Below are 19,875 nucleotides of genomic sequence, written 5' to 3' on the forward strand. Positions count from 1 at the left end.
AATTTTTTGTATTTTTGTTAGAGATGGGGTTTCACCATGTTGGCCAGGGTGGTCTGAAACTCCTGACCTCAGGTGATCCACCTGCCTTGGGTTCCCAAAGTGTTGGGATTACAGGTGTGAGCCACCGCATCCGGCTTATTTTATTTTTAATGAAAGAAACAAGAGCCTGTTTATATGTTATTGCAACAGTCCAGCAAAATGAGGGAAATTCATGATGCAGGAGAGAGGGGAGGGATCTAGTATGTGAGTCGGAGACTGGTCTTGATTGGCCTCAATAATCCATCCAAAGTCACAGAAGGAATGGTGGGGTATACAGGCTCTGATGCTAGTAGCTAGGGAGATGTAATGGTGGGACATGAAGAAGATTGTCCTGGGCGCTTCTATTTTCTTGGTGAAACAGGAAGCCAGTGAATGATGATGGGTGGGCAGGTTGTGAAGGACTGAGGAGAGAAGTGATGAAAGAGTTGTTGAGAAGGGTGGAAGAGGGAATGGACGAGGACAATGGATGACAGCTGGGCAGCATTCATGGCTCACAGGAGGTTATAATGACCATGATTTAGCCTGAGACCAACAAGCATGGTTGTGTGTTTTTCTCCAGCACATTTAGTGGCAGGGATGCAGACACAGAATGGGCAGGAAGTCGGATTGAATTGGGGTGAGAATTTGCCAGTACAGTACAGTGAGAGAGGAGCAAGGGAGTTGAGGGAGCTTGGAAAAGAAAGGCTGGGCACGACGGCTCACACCTGTAATTCCAGTGTTTTGGGAGGCTGAGGTGGGTGGATTATGAGGTCAGGAGTTCAAGACCAGCCTGGCCAACATGGTAAAACCCTCTCTCTACTAAAAATACAAAAATTAGCTGAAAGTTTTGGCGCACGCCTGTAGTCGCAGTTACTTGGGAGGCTGAGGCAGGAGAATCACTTGAACCCAGGAGGCGGAGGTTGCAGTGAGCCAAGATCACGCCCCTGCACTCCAGCCTGGGCAACAGAACGAGATTCTGTCTCAAAAAAATAAATAAATAAATAAATAAATAATAAAAATAATGATGACTTTTGGAATTTAAGCAGGGTAAGAAGGAGGAAAGTGAGGATGTGTGAGGGGTGCTGACAGAGACAGGCGGTAGGATCCACCTCGTAGGGCTCTAAATTCCAGTGGAGTCAAAAAAATATGTGCTCCAAATGGCATTTCTGGCCCTTGTGCTAACAAATCTGTCCAAATCCTAGTGTTCAAATTTATTTAAATATTGATGGAGATAATAATAACAAACATATACACAAATTGTTCATATTTTTCTTCTTTACCAGAAAATTAGGATAGTGCCCCAACCTCAGGTTTATAGTCTGTCAGTGATTCTTCAAAGGTTTTTAGAGAATAAGAGGAAGACCACAGAAAGGCCAAGATAAGACGAAATGTCAGAAAAGGAAAGGTCTGGAGAAAAAGCCTTTTAAATACAATGTTTGGCCAGGCACAGGGGCTCACGCCCATAATCCCAACACTTTGGGAGGCTGAGGCAGGAGGATGACTTGAAGCCTGGAGTTCAAGACCAGCCTGGACAAAAAGTGAGAGCCTGGCTCTACAAAAATTTTTTAAACATAGCCAGGTATGGTGCCGTGCATGTGTACTCCCAGCTACTCAGGAGGCTGAGGCAGGAGGATTGCTTGAGTTTAGGAGTTCAAGGCTGTAGTGAGCTATGGTCATCCCAGTGCTCTCCAGCCTGGGTGACGGAGTGAGACCCCATCTCTTAAAAACAAAAAGACAATGTTTTACCTGAGAACTTAGTTTATGGATGATATCAAGAAATATCACTGTGGGAAATATGTGCTAGAAACTTGATAATCACTTCACTGAGGAATATGGCTCTGAAATGCTGGCAGATGTCTTTGTGCAGTGACCACAAGATAGGTAGTTACCTGAAGCTTATCCTGTGGGAATTCTCATGTTTATGACCCTCTGGTCATCAGCCAAGGGTTATTTGGTAGTTTAGACTTTTAAATCAGAAATGGGACTTTTACATCATTTGGACCAATCCTTTCCAACTGTAAATTTTATCAGTTTATAGTTGATAAAATTGGGCCCTAGCAAGGTGAAATCTGTTTTCTATATTCTGTGGTAATACAGGAGATACATTCTGGCCTCTGGCTGGGATCAAAGTATCCCCTTCTTCCAAGCTTCTGTGTGCGACTCGTTTCCTGTCATGGCCTCCCTTGTCCTGTATTAAAAGTGTGGCTTGCTCTCAGGATTGAGATGCCCTTCCCATGACCCAGGAAGCACAAACTTCTGGCTTCCTGTACTGTTATGCATGGGATGGAGCAAGAAGTTTTTGTTTCTGTTTTTCAAATTGGATACAAACTTTATTAATGAGAACCATCAAAGACTGAGGGATGAGGAGGGAACAAGGTTTTCATCCCTCTTTAGAATAAATTATATAGAAGAGAAATAAAGATGATAAGTGAACTTTGTTGGAAAGAGTATAGGTTTTGGAGTTCAACAATAACACTAGTCAGTATACACTGAGTGTTTACTTTTTGCTGGCATTGTCCTCTTTCACATCTTGATGTCACTGATTACTAGCAATGTGGTCTTTGGCAGGTTACCTAATTTCTCTGAACTTTATTTATTTATTTATTTATTTATTTTTGAGATGGAGTTTGGCTCTCGTTGCCCAGGCTGGAGTGCAATGGCGTGATCTTGGCTCACTGCAACCTCTGCCTCCCGGGTTCAAGCGATTCTCGTGTCTCAGCCTCCCGAGTAGCTGGGATTAGAGGCATATGCCACCACACCTGACTAATTTTGTATTTGTAGTAGAGATGAGGTTTTTCCATGTTGGTCAGGTTGGTCTTGAACTCCCGACCTCAGGTGATCCCCCCACCTCAGCCTCCCAAAGTGCTGGGATTACAGGCATGAGCCACCACGCCCGGCCTGAACTTTATTTTTTTTTAAACAAAAATATAAGTGCAAATACTTTTTTACCTGGTTTTTATTGTACAATATGAAATTTGATAGGCATGTGAAACTATCTGGCATATAACAGGTGCTCAATAAATGTTCATTGTTCTTTCTACCTTTCCCCTCAAGATTCCTGAGGTTTAAAAATACCTTTTCAGGTTTTGAGCTGTTCAAAAATGTCAACAGCAAGGGTGGAATGGTTATGATTAGAACCGTTTGATAGTGTGTATTCAATTTTGTAATGTGACCTGATATCAACAGCCAAGATCTTTGTCCTGAAGGGAATTTCAATATTCAGCAAAGTGGGGCTGATTTAATAGCCATTATTTCTGAGGGTATGTTCAAGTTCAAAGTCCGTCTGTTTTAAATGCAAATCGCTCTTTTTCATGTATTTTGTATCGGAATTTAGGAACAAATGCTGTCATTTTTCTTTTTCTTTGCATGGTATTGCAGGCACCTTTATTATCACAGAGCCCTATTATTGTGATACCTCACACAGAAAATGCACACTCTGACATTAGGCACCAAAATTGCTGAAATATCCTGTGTTTTCTATTCATTAAAGCCCCAAAGCACTATGTGCAAATTCCCTTACTTTAATTACACACCTCAGGGATGTGCATGCCAAAAAAGAGCCAGTCAGACAAAAAGCCAGACCTTTGCCAAAAAATCCCAGCCCCTTAAACTGGTAAACATTTATTTTCAGCTGGGAAATCTGCTATTAATTCATATAGTGACTTTCCCAGCTGAAATAATGAGTCAAGCCAAGTGAACCAAATGTTCCGCAGTGAGCAAACATGAACAGTAGGGAAGCAGCCCATCTCTTATTTACATATTTGTTCTTTCAGCACTTAAGGAATATGTGTATATTTCCCTTTTACCTGGGAGTGTATCAGTATTTTCCTTTTACCTGGACGTATACCAGTGTTGATGCTTCTAGTGTCTCAGTTTCCAAAAAGAACTTATAGACTCCATTGTAGGTAGGTGCTTTAGGAAGAGGCAAATCACCAAACCAAAGTATTTGTTAGAGTTTAAGAGCAAAACCTTGCCACCAGCCTCACTGACTTTCCTATTTTATTGAAGTTCTTAAAAGAACAGAATTAGAGAAAACATGGGGTTTTGAGGAAAATGCTCTTTCAGAATTATTTCTGAAAAAAAATTAATGAAAATTCTAAACTTATGAATAAGAAAATATATTGTTTCATTAGGCAAAGTAGGGATTAAAATATATTTTAAAAGATTTTTAAATTTTTCAGAGAATTGTTTTTCATTTCCATTTAATTACAAGCTTTGAGGTGTGGAAAATAAGAAAGGAAATAGCTATCCACATAAACTTTATGCATATGACAAGGTAGAGTATTATTTACACTTTCTTTTTAAGGCCTGAATGCACACAAAATACACTCAGATCCTAGAATAGTAAGTTACCCTATGTGTGTAGAACTTAGAATAAAAAGTAGTTTGTATAGAATAGCATGCATGAAGGCTTCATGGACAGCAAAGAAGGAAGGAGAACTCGTTAAATTAACACATGAAATAGCAAGTCAGAGAATCAAAAGGCCAATACATTGATTAATTCCTATGATGATGTAGAGTATCTATTCAGCAGTCAATTAACCGTTTAACATATTCTTGATATAAAGGAAGTTAAAAAAATCTCCAAACTCATATAAAGCTATAATCCATAATTGGAGTTTTAATGCCTCTCTTAATATAAGGTTGAATACAGAGTTTTAATCTATTCTCAAAGAATAAAATGCTTTACATTTTAATGAAGGTGTGGTTTTGATAATAACAAACCTGAGAAAAAGTAGCTTTTAATTCGCAACACTTTAAAATCAAGGAAACTACCTTTGAACCTTTTTTTCTAAATGAAATTTTTAGCAGACACATGTTTTTTTAGCAATGAATAAAATGGATGAGAATTCTTTTTTGTTCTATAAGAAGCAGCAATACCCTATTAATTTTGACAGACAACTTGGCATTAGCCATTTTAAAATCCAACGTGGGATGAAGTTATGCATTACTAGTCTCTCTACATTTTTGTCAAGAGATGAACATTTTGCCAGATTTTTAATAATATGCCAAGAGCTTTGTCAGTCAGTTTATTTAGCTCTGCATGGTTATGCCAGTTTTTGTCCACCACCCCACTGGGTGTAACACTGCCCGCCACAGCTCACATAACTCCTCCCCTGCAATTAGACAAAGTCAACACAGCAATCACTCCCAACCGCCCTTGAGGTACCTGCACTATCAACAGTGCAGATTCCGAGGCTTGAACAAGCTTTGCTTTGTCACTGCCTCCCTACCCCAATTAGGACTTTTTTCAGCCCAGGCAATTTAGCACCAACACCATGGGTGGACCAGATAACTCTTTTAAAAAAGCCCGTTTAAGTCATTCTTCTGCCCTTCCCCCTCCAGCCCAACCCAATCAATTCTTTCTCCTCCCTCTTTTCACTACTTCCTCCACTGCCGTCCCCTCCCTGCACCTCCCCCCAGCCCCCGAGAAAGCACCCTCAGAAAGCAATAGGAGTCGGCCAGAAGGCAACTTGCAGTCCCTAACTAGTTACCATGCCGACTGGAGCCTGTGCTAAGGAATGTGCTGCTGCCACACTGAACTCAATGAAAAGATGAGGAAAATGTGCAGGCAATACTAGTTTGGCTGCGATGCTGGGGAATCTGAGACAGGGCTATTGGTATGGAAGGATCTCACTGCATGCAATTTGCAAACATGCCAACTCAATAGCATGTGATAGGCACTGGATGGAATTTAGAGGTCTTGGGGTCTTAAAGGGCTGGAATGGAATAAGAGAGCTGAATGGGGGGAAATGTGCCCCCATGAAACAACACTTGCCCCTTATATGTGATTTATTAATTTTAATAAGAATCTGTGTAAATTGTTAAAAGAGTTAAACTTGTTATAAACCCACTTCTTCTGAGTCCAATCATTATACCTTCTTGTTAATATTATCTGCATCTTAATTTTGACTGGCCATAAGAAAAAAAATAAATCTGACTTTCTGACTTAAAGAGTCAGCAGTAGAATTCATATGACACCAAGTTTGTGTTTTCAGGAGCTCTGATGGAGTTGTAAACAGCAAAAATATTTTCTGAACAGTTGCACAGAGAAGAGAGTTGCTTTAATTTTGTGTGGGGAAAGGTGGAGGCAGAAGGCAGTCCATGAAGAGCAGAATTTTGAGAAGTGAAGAGTTCCATGGTCTTTCCATCCAGAGGGAGGCAGATTTGGGTTTACACTAGGGTATTTCAAGGGAGTCTCCCTTGGCCTGGAGAACTGGGCTGCCATGAGATTATTCTTAATTTACAGTTGCCTTTGGGATATTGAGGGTAGATACAGGTCTACCACGGGACTAGGTTCACTCCAACAAAATTTCTATCCAAAACCGCTCTTCTAGTTCCATGTTCATGCGAACCAGAGACTAGCTTGGATTTTCTGGAGAGGGTGGGAAGAATTTTCCAAAGTGAACGTGATTCAGGATGACTATACCTCACACTCAGATTAGTAAAATTTCCTTCTTCTTGCCTTTTCTGTCTTCCACATCGATTGACTGCAAACTGTCCTGCACATCGCTGGCAAAATAGTTTTCTATGCTTGCCAATTCGACCCTGTCTTTTCGTTGCCCACAGCCTCCCCATGGCTCTTCATTGCCATGGCAACCACATGTCCTGGATTTTTCAGGACATTTTTTATTTCAAATATTCTGTCATGTGGTCAAACCATGTGTCAGATCATATGCCAAAAGATATGTTCTGATTTGGGTTTTGAAAATATGGTCACTATACCCATTGCTCCCAAGATATGACCGTTGTTTGCCCTTCCCTTGTCTAGTTTACTAAAGCAGACATAGAGTTTCCCTTTTAATATAATAATATCTTTAACTTGGAAATACATAATATTTTGCAGAGTACTTTCACATGATCAATTCAATGGATCCTTTCCTACCTGTGGGGTAGGCAACGTAGGAGACATTTCCATTTTACAGATGAGAAAATTGGGGCACAGAGTGGTTAATTGACTTTCTATCATTCCCAGAGTGGCAAAATGATTGAAATTCCAGCCTTCTGACTCTAATGTCTTTTTTCTCCAACATACGGCTTCCAAATATAAATGTGATGCTTTATACTCTAGGTTTGTTTGCCACTTACATCCCTGAAAGGCTGTCTTTCAGGGGACCATTTGACTGTAGGAGACCAACTCTTTCTTGATATATGCTTCACATCAGCTCATGATGTTGAACAACAGTTGAGGGGAAAGGCTTGAAGGTAGAAGAACTGGGGGACTGAGATGCTAATAATCAACATCATACATAATTTAAAAGAAAGAGAGAGAAAGAAGGAGGAGGAGGGGGAGAAGGGGAGAAGGAAAAGGAAAAAGAAAATAAAAAAGAAAAGAGTTTTAGAGAATCTGCTCAACAGTTACACCAGTGATATTTCCGAAAGTCAGGCTTATTTAGCACATGTCTGCAATGTTTGTAAATATCTGCTTCTTAATGTTATTAGTTCTCAAAAATAGTATCATTGTGTTAAATTCTTCCATGTTGTATGGTGCTAGATGCTATACGTGAGAATAAAAAAGAGGAGAAAATGCGTATTACTAGCCTAGTTATTCATTTATGTATTCAATAATTAATTTGACAGATATCAAGCACCAACTTTGTGCCAGGTGCTATACTAGACACTACAGATACAGTGGTGACGTCTCAGAGCTTATAGCCCGGTGATAATTATTGATTGTAATAAGGGCTACAAAGAAGATAAACAGGAGTATGTGATAAAGAGAACTGCAGGAAGCTAGGGAGGTGCTAGGGAGAGCGACTTCAGATAGAGTGGCCAGGGAAAGCTTCTCTGCGAAGGTGTTGTTTAAACTGACACTGGAAGGATGATAAGGAGCCAGAGACGTGCACAGAGCTGGGGAAAGAGCATTTCAGAAACAGGAAGCAAGAAGCACGAAGCCCTGTGCTTGTTACTCTATGTGCCTATTGCATAGTGACCAAGCTGTCGGGGCGTGGGAGAAAGGTATGAGGTGAGGCTACAGAGTTTTACTGGCCTTGAAGATCATGGTAAGGGGTTGAGGTTATATTCTTTTTTCTTCCCCGCAAAAGACACCATTGTTCCAATTTGTTATTCAGTATAGTCAGAGTTAGTAATCATGAGAGCAGCAGGCGTAGCTAATGTTTATTCCTTTGTGTACTAAGTGCCAGCTATTGCAGATGCATTATCACATTCAATCTGCACAATAAATAATAATAGTAATAATAATTATTATTATTTTTGAGACAGTCTTGCTCTGTTGCCCAGGTTGGAGTTGGAGTGCAGTGGTACGATCTCAGCTCACTGCAACCTCCACCTCCCGGGCTCAAGCGATCCTTGTGCCTCAGCCTCCTGAGTAGCTGAGATTACAGGCATGCACCACCATGTCTGGCTGAATTTTTTTTTTTTTTTTTTTGGTAGAGATAGGGTTTCGCCATGTTGGCCAGGCTGGTCTTGAACTCCTGACCTCAAGTGATCTACCCGCCTCAGCCTCCCAAAGTGTTGGGATTATAGGTGTGAGCCACTGTGCCCAGCCACAGTAAGATTATTATTATTATCCCCATTTTAAAGGTGGAGAAGCCGAGGCTTTGAGAGGATGAGTAGCTAGTGAAGGTCACATAGCTAGGAAGTAGGGGGCCAGAATTCCAACCCAGGCCTAGTCTGACATTAGGGCTAGTGTGTATTTTTGTTCTGTTTAGTTTTTTTCAGTGAACCTAAAAGGACTATTTCATACTGTTTTTGTTGATTAGGAATTAAATTGTTTTGTATGAAATATCATTTGAAATTCCTCAATAACATCTGGGGCTCAGAAATATCTTTTTTGTATATATTTAAGGTGCACAATATGATTTTTTGATACTTAGCTTGATATACATATATGTAGTGAGTGAAGTGGTTACTACAGTCAAGCAAATTAACATACCTATTGTCTTATATACTTACCTGTGTGTGTGTGTGTCTGTGTGTGTGTGTGTGTGTGTGTGTGTGTGTGCGCGTGTGGTAAGAGTACCTAAAATTTACTCTTTTGGCAAATTACCAGGATACAATATGATATTACAAACTAGAGTCCTCATGTTGTGCAATTACGAACTAGAGTCTTCACGTTGTGCAAACAGATCTCTAGACTTATTAATGCTACATTACTGCAACTTTGTACCTTTTGATCTACATCTTCTTATTTCCTCCTGTGCTCCCCACAAATCCTGTTTTCACTGTTTTTATGTATTTGTTTTTTTTTTTAAACTAGAAGACATTATGCTAAGGAAATAGGCCAGACACAGAAAGAAAAATACTAGTTGGGACTAAATTCTAAGAACAATACAAAGTCACAGAAGCCATTGAAGAGAGAGACTTTTAGATAAGATTCTTTTAGGAAAAACCTGCAATATTGCTCCTGAACCCGATTCTTATCCCAAAGGCCAGAGACTACAGAAGCAATGCTATCGGTAGAATATTGAATTCCCAGGAGCTATTTGTGCAACATTATAAAGCTCTTTACCCTCTAAAAATGTTAAGAGCAGAATGTTTATGATAGATTTCAAAATGTAGGTGAGCCACTCATTCATTAGCACCTCTGATATGCCAGGTTCTACATGATCTAGGCTTCTTAACTCAAGATCAATACTATCCAGTCATGGGAATGTAACCAAAGCTAATTTGGGAGGAGAGGACATGAAAATAGAAATAAGCAGGCAGATTGTTTCTGGCTAGACAGGGATGGAGAGGATTTGTTATTAAGCAGAGATGGGTTTACATTCTAATTGATGTTGGTGTCTTCAGTCTTAACGTTTTGCCAGAAAATGAACGGGAGGCGGCAGTGGTAGGTGACAGAAGCTTTTCTGCATAACAGTTTACCATGGAATCCACTCACCAGGCTGGGATTTAAATTTGGCTGTAACTCTCGTCAGGGCAGAATATGAGTGGTGTGTGCTTCTTTCTATTGTGGTCCATGGTTATGTCTGCATAATAACTATTGCAAAGAAAGGTGAAAACTTTTGGTTAATTATCAGATGCTTTGCAATGGTCAGACATAATGCATAATACATGTCTCATGGATTTCAGTTTTTAGTTGGATGTGTTGGCATTAAAGTGAGTGTTTGCTAAGGATGGGCACAGATGAACATGTGACCCTCAAAGGAAGCTGGCTTAATGCATTGTTGCATAATAAAGCCAGGAGTCTCTCTCTATATATACATGTGTGTATGTATATACGTGTGTGTGTGTGTGTGTATTTTTAATCAAATGTTATGGTTCTCATTCTATATGCTTTATTTGTTAGGAATAAAGCATCAAAACAGTTTTAGAAAAGGAGCGATTGTTGGATGATTTATATTTAATTTGCTACACTGTTGGAGAGAAAAAGATTAAAAGCAAATTCCAGCTCAAAATCATAGCTTCTTTCAGTCTTGAAGGTATATATATATATCTTCATATACATACACACATACATATATACATATATATATATACACACACACATACATATTTATGTATGTTTTTAGAGACGGGGTCTCACTATTTGCCTAGATTAGTGTCAAACTCCTGGAGTCAAACTCACTGGGAGGACGTAAGCCATTCTCCCTCTCAGTCTCCTCAAGTATCTGTCTGGAAAGGTATATTTTTAAGAGCAGACATACAGCTAACCCAAACATACCACAGCAGGTCAAGAATCCCTATTCAAGAGGGTTTCCTAATGGAAAAAGTCAGAGAACTAGTTCATTTGAGTAAATGTAGCTTATTTTTATGCTATTTCCAGAATAATCACCTTAAATCTATTTTAATAGTCTCACAACAATGCAAAGATTCCATGTTACAAAGTAAGCCTTAGAATTCTAAACCTGTAATGTCAGGTAGGCCCTAAGATTTATTCATGCAGCAATGATAGGCTAAATATCTAATTACTCATTTGTTAAAACACACAGAGCAAAAATAGATTTTCTTTTAAAAGCATTGGTTTTCCCATTTTGCTCTTTGGATTTGAGTCTTTCAGATTACATAACATGGGGCAAATGCTTAAAAGCTAAAACATACATAAGCTACTTCATACTATATTTTATTGCTTTTTAATTTATTTAACTTAAAAATTAAGTTCTATAGTGCAGTTAATATAAGAAAAAGTATAAATTTTTTTAAAAGAGGCATAGCTATATTCTCCAGCTGTTGGTCTGTACCGTTAAATTACCAGTTTTTAAAATTAAAAAAAAAAACAGTTAAAAATATTTGTTAAATAGGTGACTGGGCCAGATGCGGTGGCTCATGCCTATAATCCCAGCACTCTGGAAGGCCGAAGTGGGAGGATTACCTGAGCTCAGGAGTTCGAGACCAGCCTAGGCAACATAGCAAGACCTCATCTCTTAAAAAGAAAAAATTAGCTAGCATACTTGTGTGCACCTGTAGTCCCAGCTACTGGGAGGCTGAGGTGGAAGCATCACTTGAGCCCAGGATTTTGAGACTGCAGCAAGCTGATTGTGCCAGTGCACTTCAGCCTAGGCAACAGAGCACCACCCTGTCTCGAAAAAAAAAAATTTAATGGGTGACTGAAGTTTTCTCTCTACATTCATTAATAAATAGCTTTCAGTGCCCACTGTGTGCCAGGCACAGGGCCAGGATCTAGGGATACAGCAAGGAGAGCAACCCACTTTATTTTTGGATGGGGTTTAAAGGTGTGGACGTGGGATAGGAGACAAACGAGAAAGGAAAAAGGGCTTTAGAGCAGCCAGTTTTGACAGGTATTCCTGCCAGTGACCTTATGCATCCAGTAACTAAGCATGAACATTCTTCTTATTGGTAGTTGTGACCCTCTGATACTAAAGAGATTTCCCCCAAGTTGTCTTATTACATGTCCCACAATAGATGACATTCACAGCCTTCACATACTTCATCACTGAACTCACAACTAGCAGTAGGCTCCTCTTTTATTTTCCATGAACTGATTTTAATTCGGAGAATATTGTAGTTTTTTTTTTTTCTGTCCCAACGTTTTGGCACGTTTGTGTATTCCTCAGAGTACAGCTTCCTATGAGAACACCCTAAGCTTGAATGCTTTGGGGCAGATGTGGGCGATGGTGAGAGGGGAAATAGGACGGGAGGGCTTGAAATCTTTTTGGAATGTAACTTCTCTCCATGAATGCATTTGCATCCACTAGTCTACATTCCCTTGAATCTGTTCTATTTCTGCCATTTAGTGTAAGCATCACAGAAGATGCTGGCTGCCACCGCGGGAGAACAGAGAGTTTTGGTGACTCAGAAAATAACCATATGGCATTCAAGCTTCTTTATGTTGCCCAAAGAGAGCTCACAATAATCTGATCATGGAGTTCGTGCACTGAGAGAAACACCTCTACCACTGTGAAGCAGATTTAAAGTTGCATTTGTTTTCTTTGTCTCCTATCCAAATGAGTATGACAGAGTTTCTTTTAAGAAAATTTGCAACTCTTCCATTTTGGGTGTGTCCTCTGCCAAATGTTTTGGAGACCTTAAAGCAGGGTGCCTGGGTAGGGTTGCTGGATAAAATACTGGATGTTCAGTTAAATTTGAATTTCAGATAAACAACAAATAATTTTTTAGTATAAATATGTCTCATGCAATGCTTGGGATATGCTCATACTAAAAAAATTATTTGTGCCATCTTACATTTTTATTTGCCATATCTGGCAATGTTATGCCTGAGCAATAGGCACCAGAGTATTCATATTGTGGTATCTATAGATAGAGTATTCATATTGTGGTATGCATAGATAGATCAGATTATGATTTTTATTTATTTATTTATTTTGAGACAAGGTCTTATTCTGTCTCCCACGCTAAAGTGCAAGGGTGCAATCTTGGCTCGCTGCTAACCTCTGCCTCCCAACCTTTAGCAGTCCTCCCACCTCAGCCTCCCGAGTAGCTGGGACCATAGGTGTGTGCCACAACACTGGGCTAAGTTTTGTGGGTTTTTTTTCAGTTTAGTTTGATTTTTGTTTTTGTTTTTCTTTTTGGGTAGAGATGGAGTTTCACCATATTGCCCAGGCTGGTCTCAAACTCCTGGGCTCAAGTGATCCTCCTGCCTCGGCCTCCTAAAGTGCTGGGGTTACAGGCGTGAGGCACAAAACCTGGCCCAGATTATGATTTTATGGCACTGTTGACAGCACAGTTTTGGAGCCTTCCATAGCAGCACCACAAACATTGTCTGTCAAGTGTCTACATGCTCATCAGAGTTGTGCTGGCTGCCATGCCGAGTTAAAGTGGACTTGGTCCTTTCAATCTAGAAAGACAACAAGAACAGGACAATATCAACAGTGAGAGACCAGATAAAAAGAAAAGGAAACATGAAAAATTTGACATACATCAAAGGAGTATGTACAACAAATAAAGTGCATCTATTATGTGGACAACTCATTGTTGGGAACTGACACGAGACCATAAACATTTCACAGAAGTCACTGGGCAACTGTTCATATCTTCTGTTTGGAGACAAAACAATATCTCAGGAGCAAAAGAATCTCTACTTCCTTTAACTCCCAGAATTGCACCAATTCCAGAATCGCACCAATTCCAGAATCACCTCAACATCTCATCTCTGCAAGACATTTCATGGGATGATAAAATTATATGTATATATAAAAAGGCATATGCACATATGTAATTTACACACATATATATCATTAAGGGAAAATGTAGCCATTGATACAATCAGAAAATTCTCACATATTTATGCATAATCTCTCGGATCAATTTGCCATCAGTAATGAATTGGATTGTAAATGTATTCAGATCAATGGTGCAGTGGCCGCTTTGATCACTAAGATGATGGAAATGACCCAGTTTATTGTGCCACAACCTAGTCTTATGGTGAGTACTCACTTGGCAACCAGCTTATCAAACTTTAGAATTTCATTTTAAATGATTGGTCCAGAATGCCCATAGGTAGGATTGGCGTAGCCTGAGAGATTGTCAGGTTATCTGTGCATATTTTCATATTTTTTTCTTATTACAAAAGTTATACATAACCATTATAGAGAGTTTAAGAAAAATAAGATAATAAGAAAAAAAAAGCTTATGCCAGGCATGGTGGCTCATGCCTGTAATCCCAGCACTTTGGGAGGCCAAGGCAGGCATATCACTTGAGGTCAGGAGTTCGAGACCAGCCTGACCAACATGGTGAAACCCTGTCTCTATTAAAAATACAAAAAAATTAGCCAGTCATGGTGGCTCATGCCTGTAATCTCAGCGACCCGGGAGGCTGAGGCAGGAGAATCGCTTGAACCCAGGAGACAGAGGTTTCAGTGAGCTGAGATCGCGCCACTGCACTCCAGCCTGGGCGACACAGTGAGACTTGGTCTCAAAAACAAACACACACACACGCATACACACACACACACAGAAAAAAAAAAAAAAGCAACCATAATCTCAGGTCTCTGAATTCCTCTTTAAAATGACTAATAGTGACACATTTCAAATAACCCCAAAAGAATAGGAATCTGTCACATTTCTATCCATCACCAATACATTTATCATTATTATTATTATTATTATTACTTGGTTTATATTTCTAATTTTAAAAGAATTTTCTATATTTTGAAGGAATAAAATATAACAGATACTGCTAAAAACCCATCTTTTTTCTTTCCTTCCCTTGCCAGGAGCAACCACTGCCTTGAAATTATTGTGTGTCATTCCCATGAATGCTTTTGTCCTTTTACAATCTATGTATGGGTACATAAATTATTGTTTTGTGTATTTAGAAAAAGAAGAACACTGCACATATTCATTGGAATTCATTTTTTTCACTTGCTTCATATTTTGTAGATTAATTTATGTTAATACATGTAGACGTAATGCATTTACTTAAACTGCTGTAAAGTATCCCACTGAATGAATATGTCTATTCCTACAATGAGGGACAGTTAGAATGTTTGCATGGTTTTCTTTGATACAGTGTAGCAATGGGTGCTTCCAAGTACACATATTCAATATATATATATATATATTTTAAATAGAGACAAGGTCTTGCTGTGTTGGCCAGACTGGTCTCCAACTCCTGGCCTCAAGTGATCCTCCTGCTTCAGCCTCCAAAGTGCTGAGATTACAGGAGTGAGCCACAATGCCAGGCCTCAAGAATTTTTTAGGGAGGACATCTAAATGTATACTTTCTTGTAAAATATGAAAACCTTCAGTTTTTCTAAGTTTTGAAATTGCTTTTCAGAGTGAGAGCACCAATTTACACTTCCACTAGAAATGTAAAATAGTTAATTGACCCACATTTTTAAAAACACTTTGTATTGTCAGACATTAATGTTTGCCAATCTGATGATGGTGAAATAGTATCTCATTGATTTATCTTGTATTTCCCTAATTGTTACTGAAGTTGAGGATATTTTTCGTATGTTTATTTACCATTCAAATTTCTTGTTCTATCAATTCGTTATTCATAATAGATAATAAATATCTACTCATATCTATCTTTTACAAATTTTAAAGCAAAAGTTATGAATAACTTTTCACAATATCTATCTATCATAATCCCAGCTACTTAGGAGGCTGAGGCAGGAGAATCACTTGAACCTGGGAGGCAGAGGTTGCAATGAGACAAGATCATGCCACTGCACTCCAGCCTGGGTGACTGAGCAAGACTCTGTCTCAAAAAAAAAAAAAAATGGGAAATATCAAAAGTTAAGAAATGTTGAGAAGAAAATGAGAAGGTCTAACATTCATCTACCTGCACTTCATTCTAAGCATTCTCTCAGATTTATTTTATAGCCGAATGATCCTCACTTTATCTAGATCTAATATTTTAACTTATTTATTTATTTATTTTTGAGACAAAGTCTCACTCTGTTGCCAGGCTGGAGTACAGTGGCGCGATCTTGGCTCACTGCAACCTCCGCCTCCTTGGTTCAAGAGATTCTTGTGCCTCAGCCTCCCGAGTAGCTAGGATTACAGCCGACTGCCACCCCGCCTGGCTAATTTTTGTATTTTTAGTAGAAACGGGGGTTTCACCATGTTGGCCAGGCTGGTCTTGAACTCCTGACCTCAGGTAATCCACCCACCTCAGCCTCCCAAAGTGTTGGGATTACAGGCGTGAGCCACCGCGCCTGGCCTGATTTTTTTAAACAAATGAAAATTTTGTTTCTGGAAGTTTTATTTATTTTTTTCTCAACTCGGTCTATACTTTTTTTTTTTTAATACCGTATCTTGTTTTTGTGATTTTAATTCCTTCTTTATATGATTTATAACATACTTAGGGGCTGGGCATAGTAGCTCATGCCTGTAATCCCAGCACCTTGGAGGCTGAAACAGGAGGATCACTTGAGGCCAGGAGTTTGAGACCAGCCTGGGCAACATGGTGAGAACTCATCTCTACAGAATATTTAAAAAATAGCCAGTCGTGGTGGCACGTGCCTGTGATCCCAGCTACTCACAAGACTGAAGTAGGAGGATCACCTGAGTCCAGGAAGTCGAGAGTGCAGTGAGCCATGGTCATGCTACTGCACTCTAGCCTGGGTGACAGTGAGACACTGTCTCAAAACAATAAATAAAATAAGATATACTTATATCATGGTCACTTGCATTATCTGAATTTCTTGGGGCTCAATTATTGTGGATTTTAAAAAAATTATGTCTGCCTGACTTGTTTATGTAGGATTATTTATGATATGCTTTGACAATGACTGCATCTCCAATGGGAATTTATCTGTGGGAAACCTCTGGGGCCTGGGTTGAGGTATGTCCCTCTGATGCAGGTGCCAGGCACCTGAGTGGTATCACCAGATCATTGAAGGCCATCTCAAAGGTTAGCTACCACTGGCATGGAACCACTTTTTCTTTTCCTTTAGAGATGGGGTCTCACTCTTTCACCCAGGTTAGAGTGCAGTGGAAATTCACAAGCACAATCATAGATTACTGCAGCCTCGAACTCTTGGGCTCAAGTGACCCTTCACCTCAGCCTCCTGAGTAGTTGGGACTACAAGCACATGCCGCTATGCTCAGCTGGAACCACTTTTTATGTTGGTTGCTACATTTATGGGCTCCCCTGACCTTGTAGTATAAATTCCAGAGGGGGTTATTTTCTCACCTAAAGCTGTGGAAGATTCAGATAAATTTCTTGGGGGCCAGGCATGGTGGCTCATGCCTGTGATCCCAGCACTTTGGGAGGCCGAGGCAGGAGAATTGTTTCAGCCCAGGAGTTAGTGAGGCCTCGTCTGTACAAAAATTTAACAAATTAGCCAGGTGTGGTGGGGCACCTATAGTGCCAGCTCTCAGGAAGCTGAGGTGGGAGGATTGCTTGAGCCTAGGAGATCCAGGCTGCGGTTGAGCTATGATTGTGCCACTGCACTCCAGCCTGGGTGACAGTGAGACTCTGTCTTAATCTTTGTGGTTCCCCGCTCCCAGAAAAATCTAGATACATTTCTTTATCATCTCTCAGTAGCATTGGGTAGACTTTTTTTTCCCCCAGTCCTTCCCTTCACTGAAGGTCACAGTCCTGGTTTTATGCCAGGATCTTAGCTTCAATTCCACACTTTATGCTAGCTCAAAGTCTTGTCTTCTGTTTCTAACTGAGCATCAGAACTCAAGTTTCTGTGTTACAAAGGCCTATACTCTCTTTTTCTTTCTTAGATGCTTATCTATTAAAAATATTTGTATGTTTATCTAGTTTTTCTAGGTGTTTATAGGAGGAGGAATTGCAGGTTATCTAGTTTTCCATCTTAACAGCACTTGTCTTTGCTCCTGTTACGCTTTCAAGAAACAGGAGTCAAGTTATCCCTTGTGCCTGAGCTGCTTTGTGTATCTGCTATCCCTCCAGCAGGAAACAGGCAAATGCCTGGGCAAAGCAAAGCTTGAAAATGGTAAAATTCATCTTTAGCGCCTTCTCATCCAGAGCTTTCTCTCCTACCTCTCCAGTCCTCTGGAGCATCTTGTTTGTCCTTCCTCATTGAACCCTGCCCTTCCAGGATGCTCCATAGCCCTTCCAGGACTTGTCATTTGCTGTGCTTTTCCCTCTGCTTTTTGTGGAAATATGCCTCACCAGTATCTCTGCACTGTCCAAAGTGTCCAGGTGACAATTAGCTAATCTGATAAGCTCATTCATGCTAATGTGCTAATGAAAGAGGACTACAGAAGATGGCTGTCCTTCCCCTACCTCCTAATCAGGGGCTCTTCTTCTCCTGCCAGGTAACATATGTGCATAGCAGCAGTGAGCTTCTAGAGACCGCGACCCGGCTTTAGTGGTCTAACCTGGAGGATTGACGTTAATGGAATGAGATTTTTAAGTCAAGTAGGAGGAACAGCCAAGTTGAGGCAGGCAGAAGAGGGTTAGAATCAGGCAAAAATGACCCTCAGATCATTTGTGAGTGCCTACGAAGTAGAGGTTGCATTAACCCTTTCATTTCTAAAATGTAAAGAATAGAGAGTATTTCTTGGAACGTCTCTTTGCTGCATCAAAATTATTCTTATCGGAAATCCCCCTACAAAGCAAGAACCAGAACTAAGCAGAACCGATAATAGATTGGGTACATGACTACACATTCTGATATTTTCATTTTGCTGATTCCATGGGATAAGTCTACACCCCTTTTAGGGGATGGGCAAGAAAGAGATGGGTCCTTAAATTGGAGGCTAGAACATGTTCGTTTTAGACAAAATAGAGAAGGAGTGGTAACTGTTTGTCTCACCTTCTTTCTGGGTCTCATTCTATTGCATCCCAATCTCAGAAGAGTTAGGGTGTCAGCTCTTAGAAGGTGGTATAGAGGTGAGACAGGCTCATGCGGAGCTTCAGTGGGACTGATTGTGCCTTTGAGCCTCAGAGAGAAAGCCACATCTTGTAAGAAAGAGTATACAGGTATATGCATATTTATTTTATTGTTTCCCTATTTTCACAAAACAAATGTTTTGGTCTAGTTGTTACTAACTATGCTATGTGGTCTAATGAGAGGGTAGACTTTGATAACTGTGTATTTGTTACAGCTAATTGATAAATGTAACTGCCTTGAAGACATCTTATTACGGGGATCCCCAATGCCAGGGCCACGGATGGTGCCAGTCTGTGGCCTGTTAGGACCTGGGCCGCACAGCAGGAGGTGAGCGGTGCTGGGCAAGCGAGCATTACCGCCTGAGCTCCCCTTCCTGTCAGATCAGTGGTGGCATTACATTCTTACAGAAGCGCAAACCCTATTGTGAGCTGCCCATGTGAGGGATCTAGGTTGCATGCTCCTTATGAGACTCTAACTAATGCCTGATGATGTGATGTGGAACAGTTTCATCCCAAAACCACTTTCCCCACCCTCAGGTCCGTGGAAAAATTTTCTTCCATGAAACCTCTCTCTGGTGCCAAAAAGGTTGGGGACCACAGCCTTATTAGATAGAATACTGTGGCTGGCATCTTCCTTTTGCACCTTCTCTATCCACTCTCTATGTTCCCCTGCCTTCTCTCTCCTCTGGAGGCTGACCTATATGAATCGTATCAATAGGTTCTCTTGCCATTTGACCTCTGGTTGGGTTTGGCCGATGGGGCATACTGGTAGGAGGCTGGAGAGCAGGATGAGAGTGGTGCGTTGATATTCCGGGTTCCCTTCTTACAGGTTTGTTACAGGCTGGCTTTTCCTCCCTTACCTCCTCTAGAAGCCCCTCTCCACACAGCCTTCCTTTCTTTGGCTTCTGCTCTCTGCTCTTTCCTTCCTAGCCCTGAACACCTTTCTCTCTTTGTGGTTTCCTTATGCTCTGCCCAAACCTTTGTAAAGAGTTCCTTTATGAAACTCCTCAAATTGTCCTAATTTGAGTGTGCCATCTGTTTCCCACTGGGAAGCTGACTGATAAAACTCCTGAATTCTTCTTTTTATTTTTATTTTTTTTCTTAAAGTAAAAGGTGTTTTTTTGTTTTGTTTTGTTTTTCTGTTTTTGTTTTTG

The 19,875-nt window shown here is 40.3% G+C and overlaps 1 long non-coding RNA gene across 2 annotated transcripts in view, besides 1 other annotated feature; it reads left to right on the forward strand.

Moving 5' to 3' along the window:
- Positions 1-19,875, forward strand: part of OTX2-AS1 (OTX2 antisense RNA 1) — a 119,303-nt gene that overhangs the window by 38,819 nt on the left and 60,609 nt on the right. The gene's annotated exons all lie outside the window — the stretch shown is intronic.
- Positions 3,122-6,777: an enhancer, noted in NCBI's record as "VISTA enhancer hs1579". NCBI's record gives its function as "enhancer in: forebrain[4/6]" and the evidence as "EXISTENCE:transgenic organism evidence [ECO:0001131][PMID:17130149]".

Source organism: Homo sapiens, chromosome 14, assembly GCF_000001405.40.
Source record: "Homo sapiens chromosome 14, GRCh38.p14 Primary Assembly".
NCBI classification, from domain to species: Eukaryota; Metazoa; Chordata; class Mammalia; order Primates; family Hominidae; genus Homo; species Homo sapiens.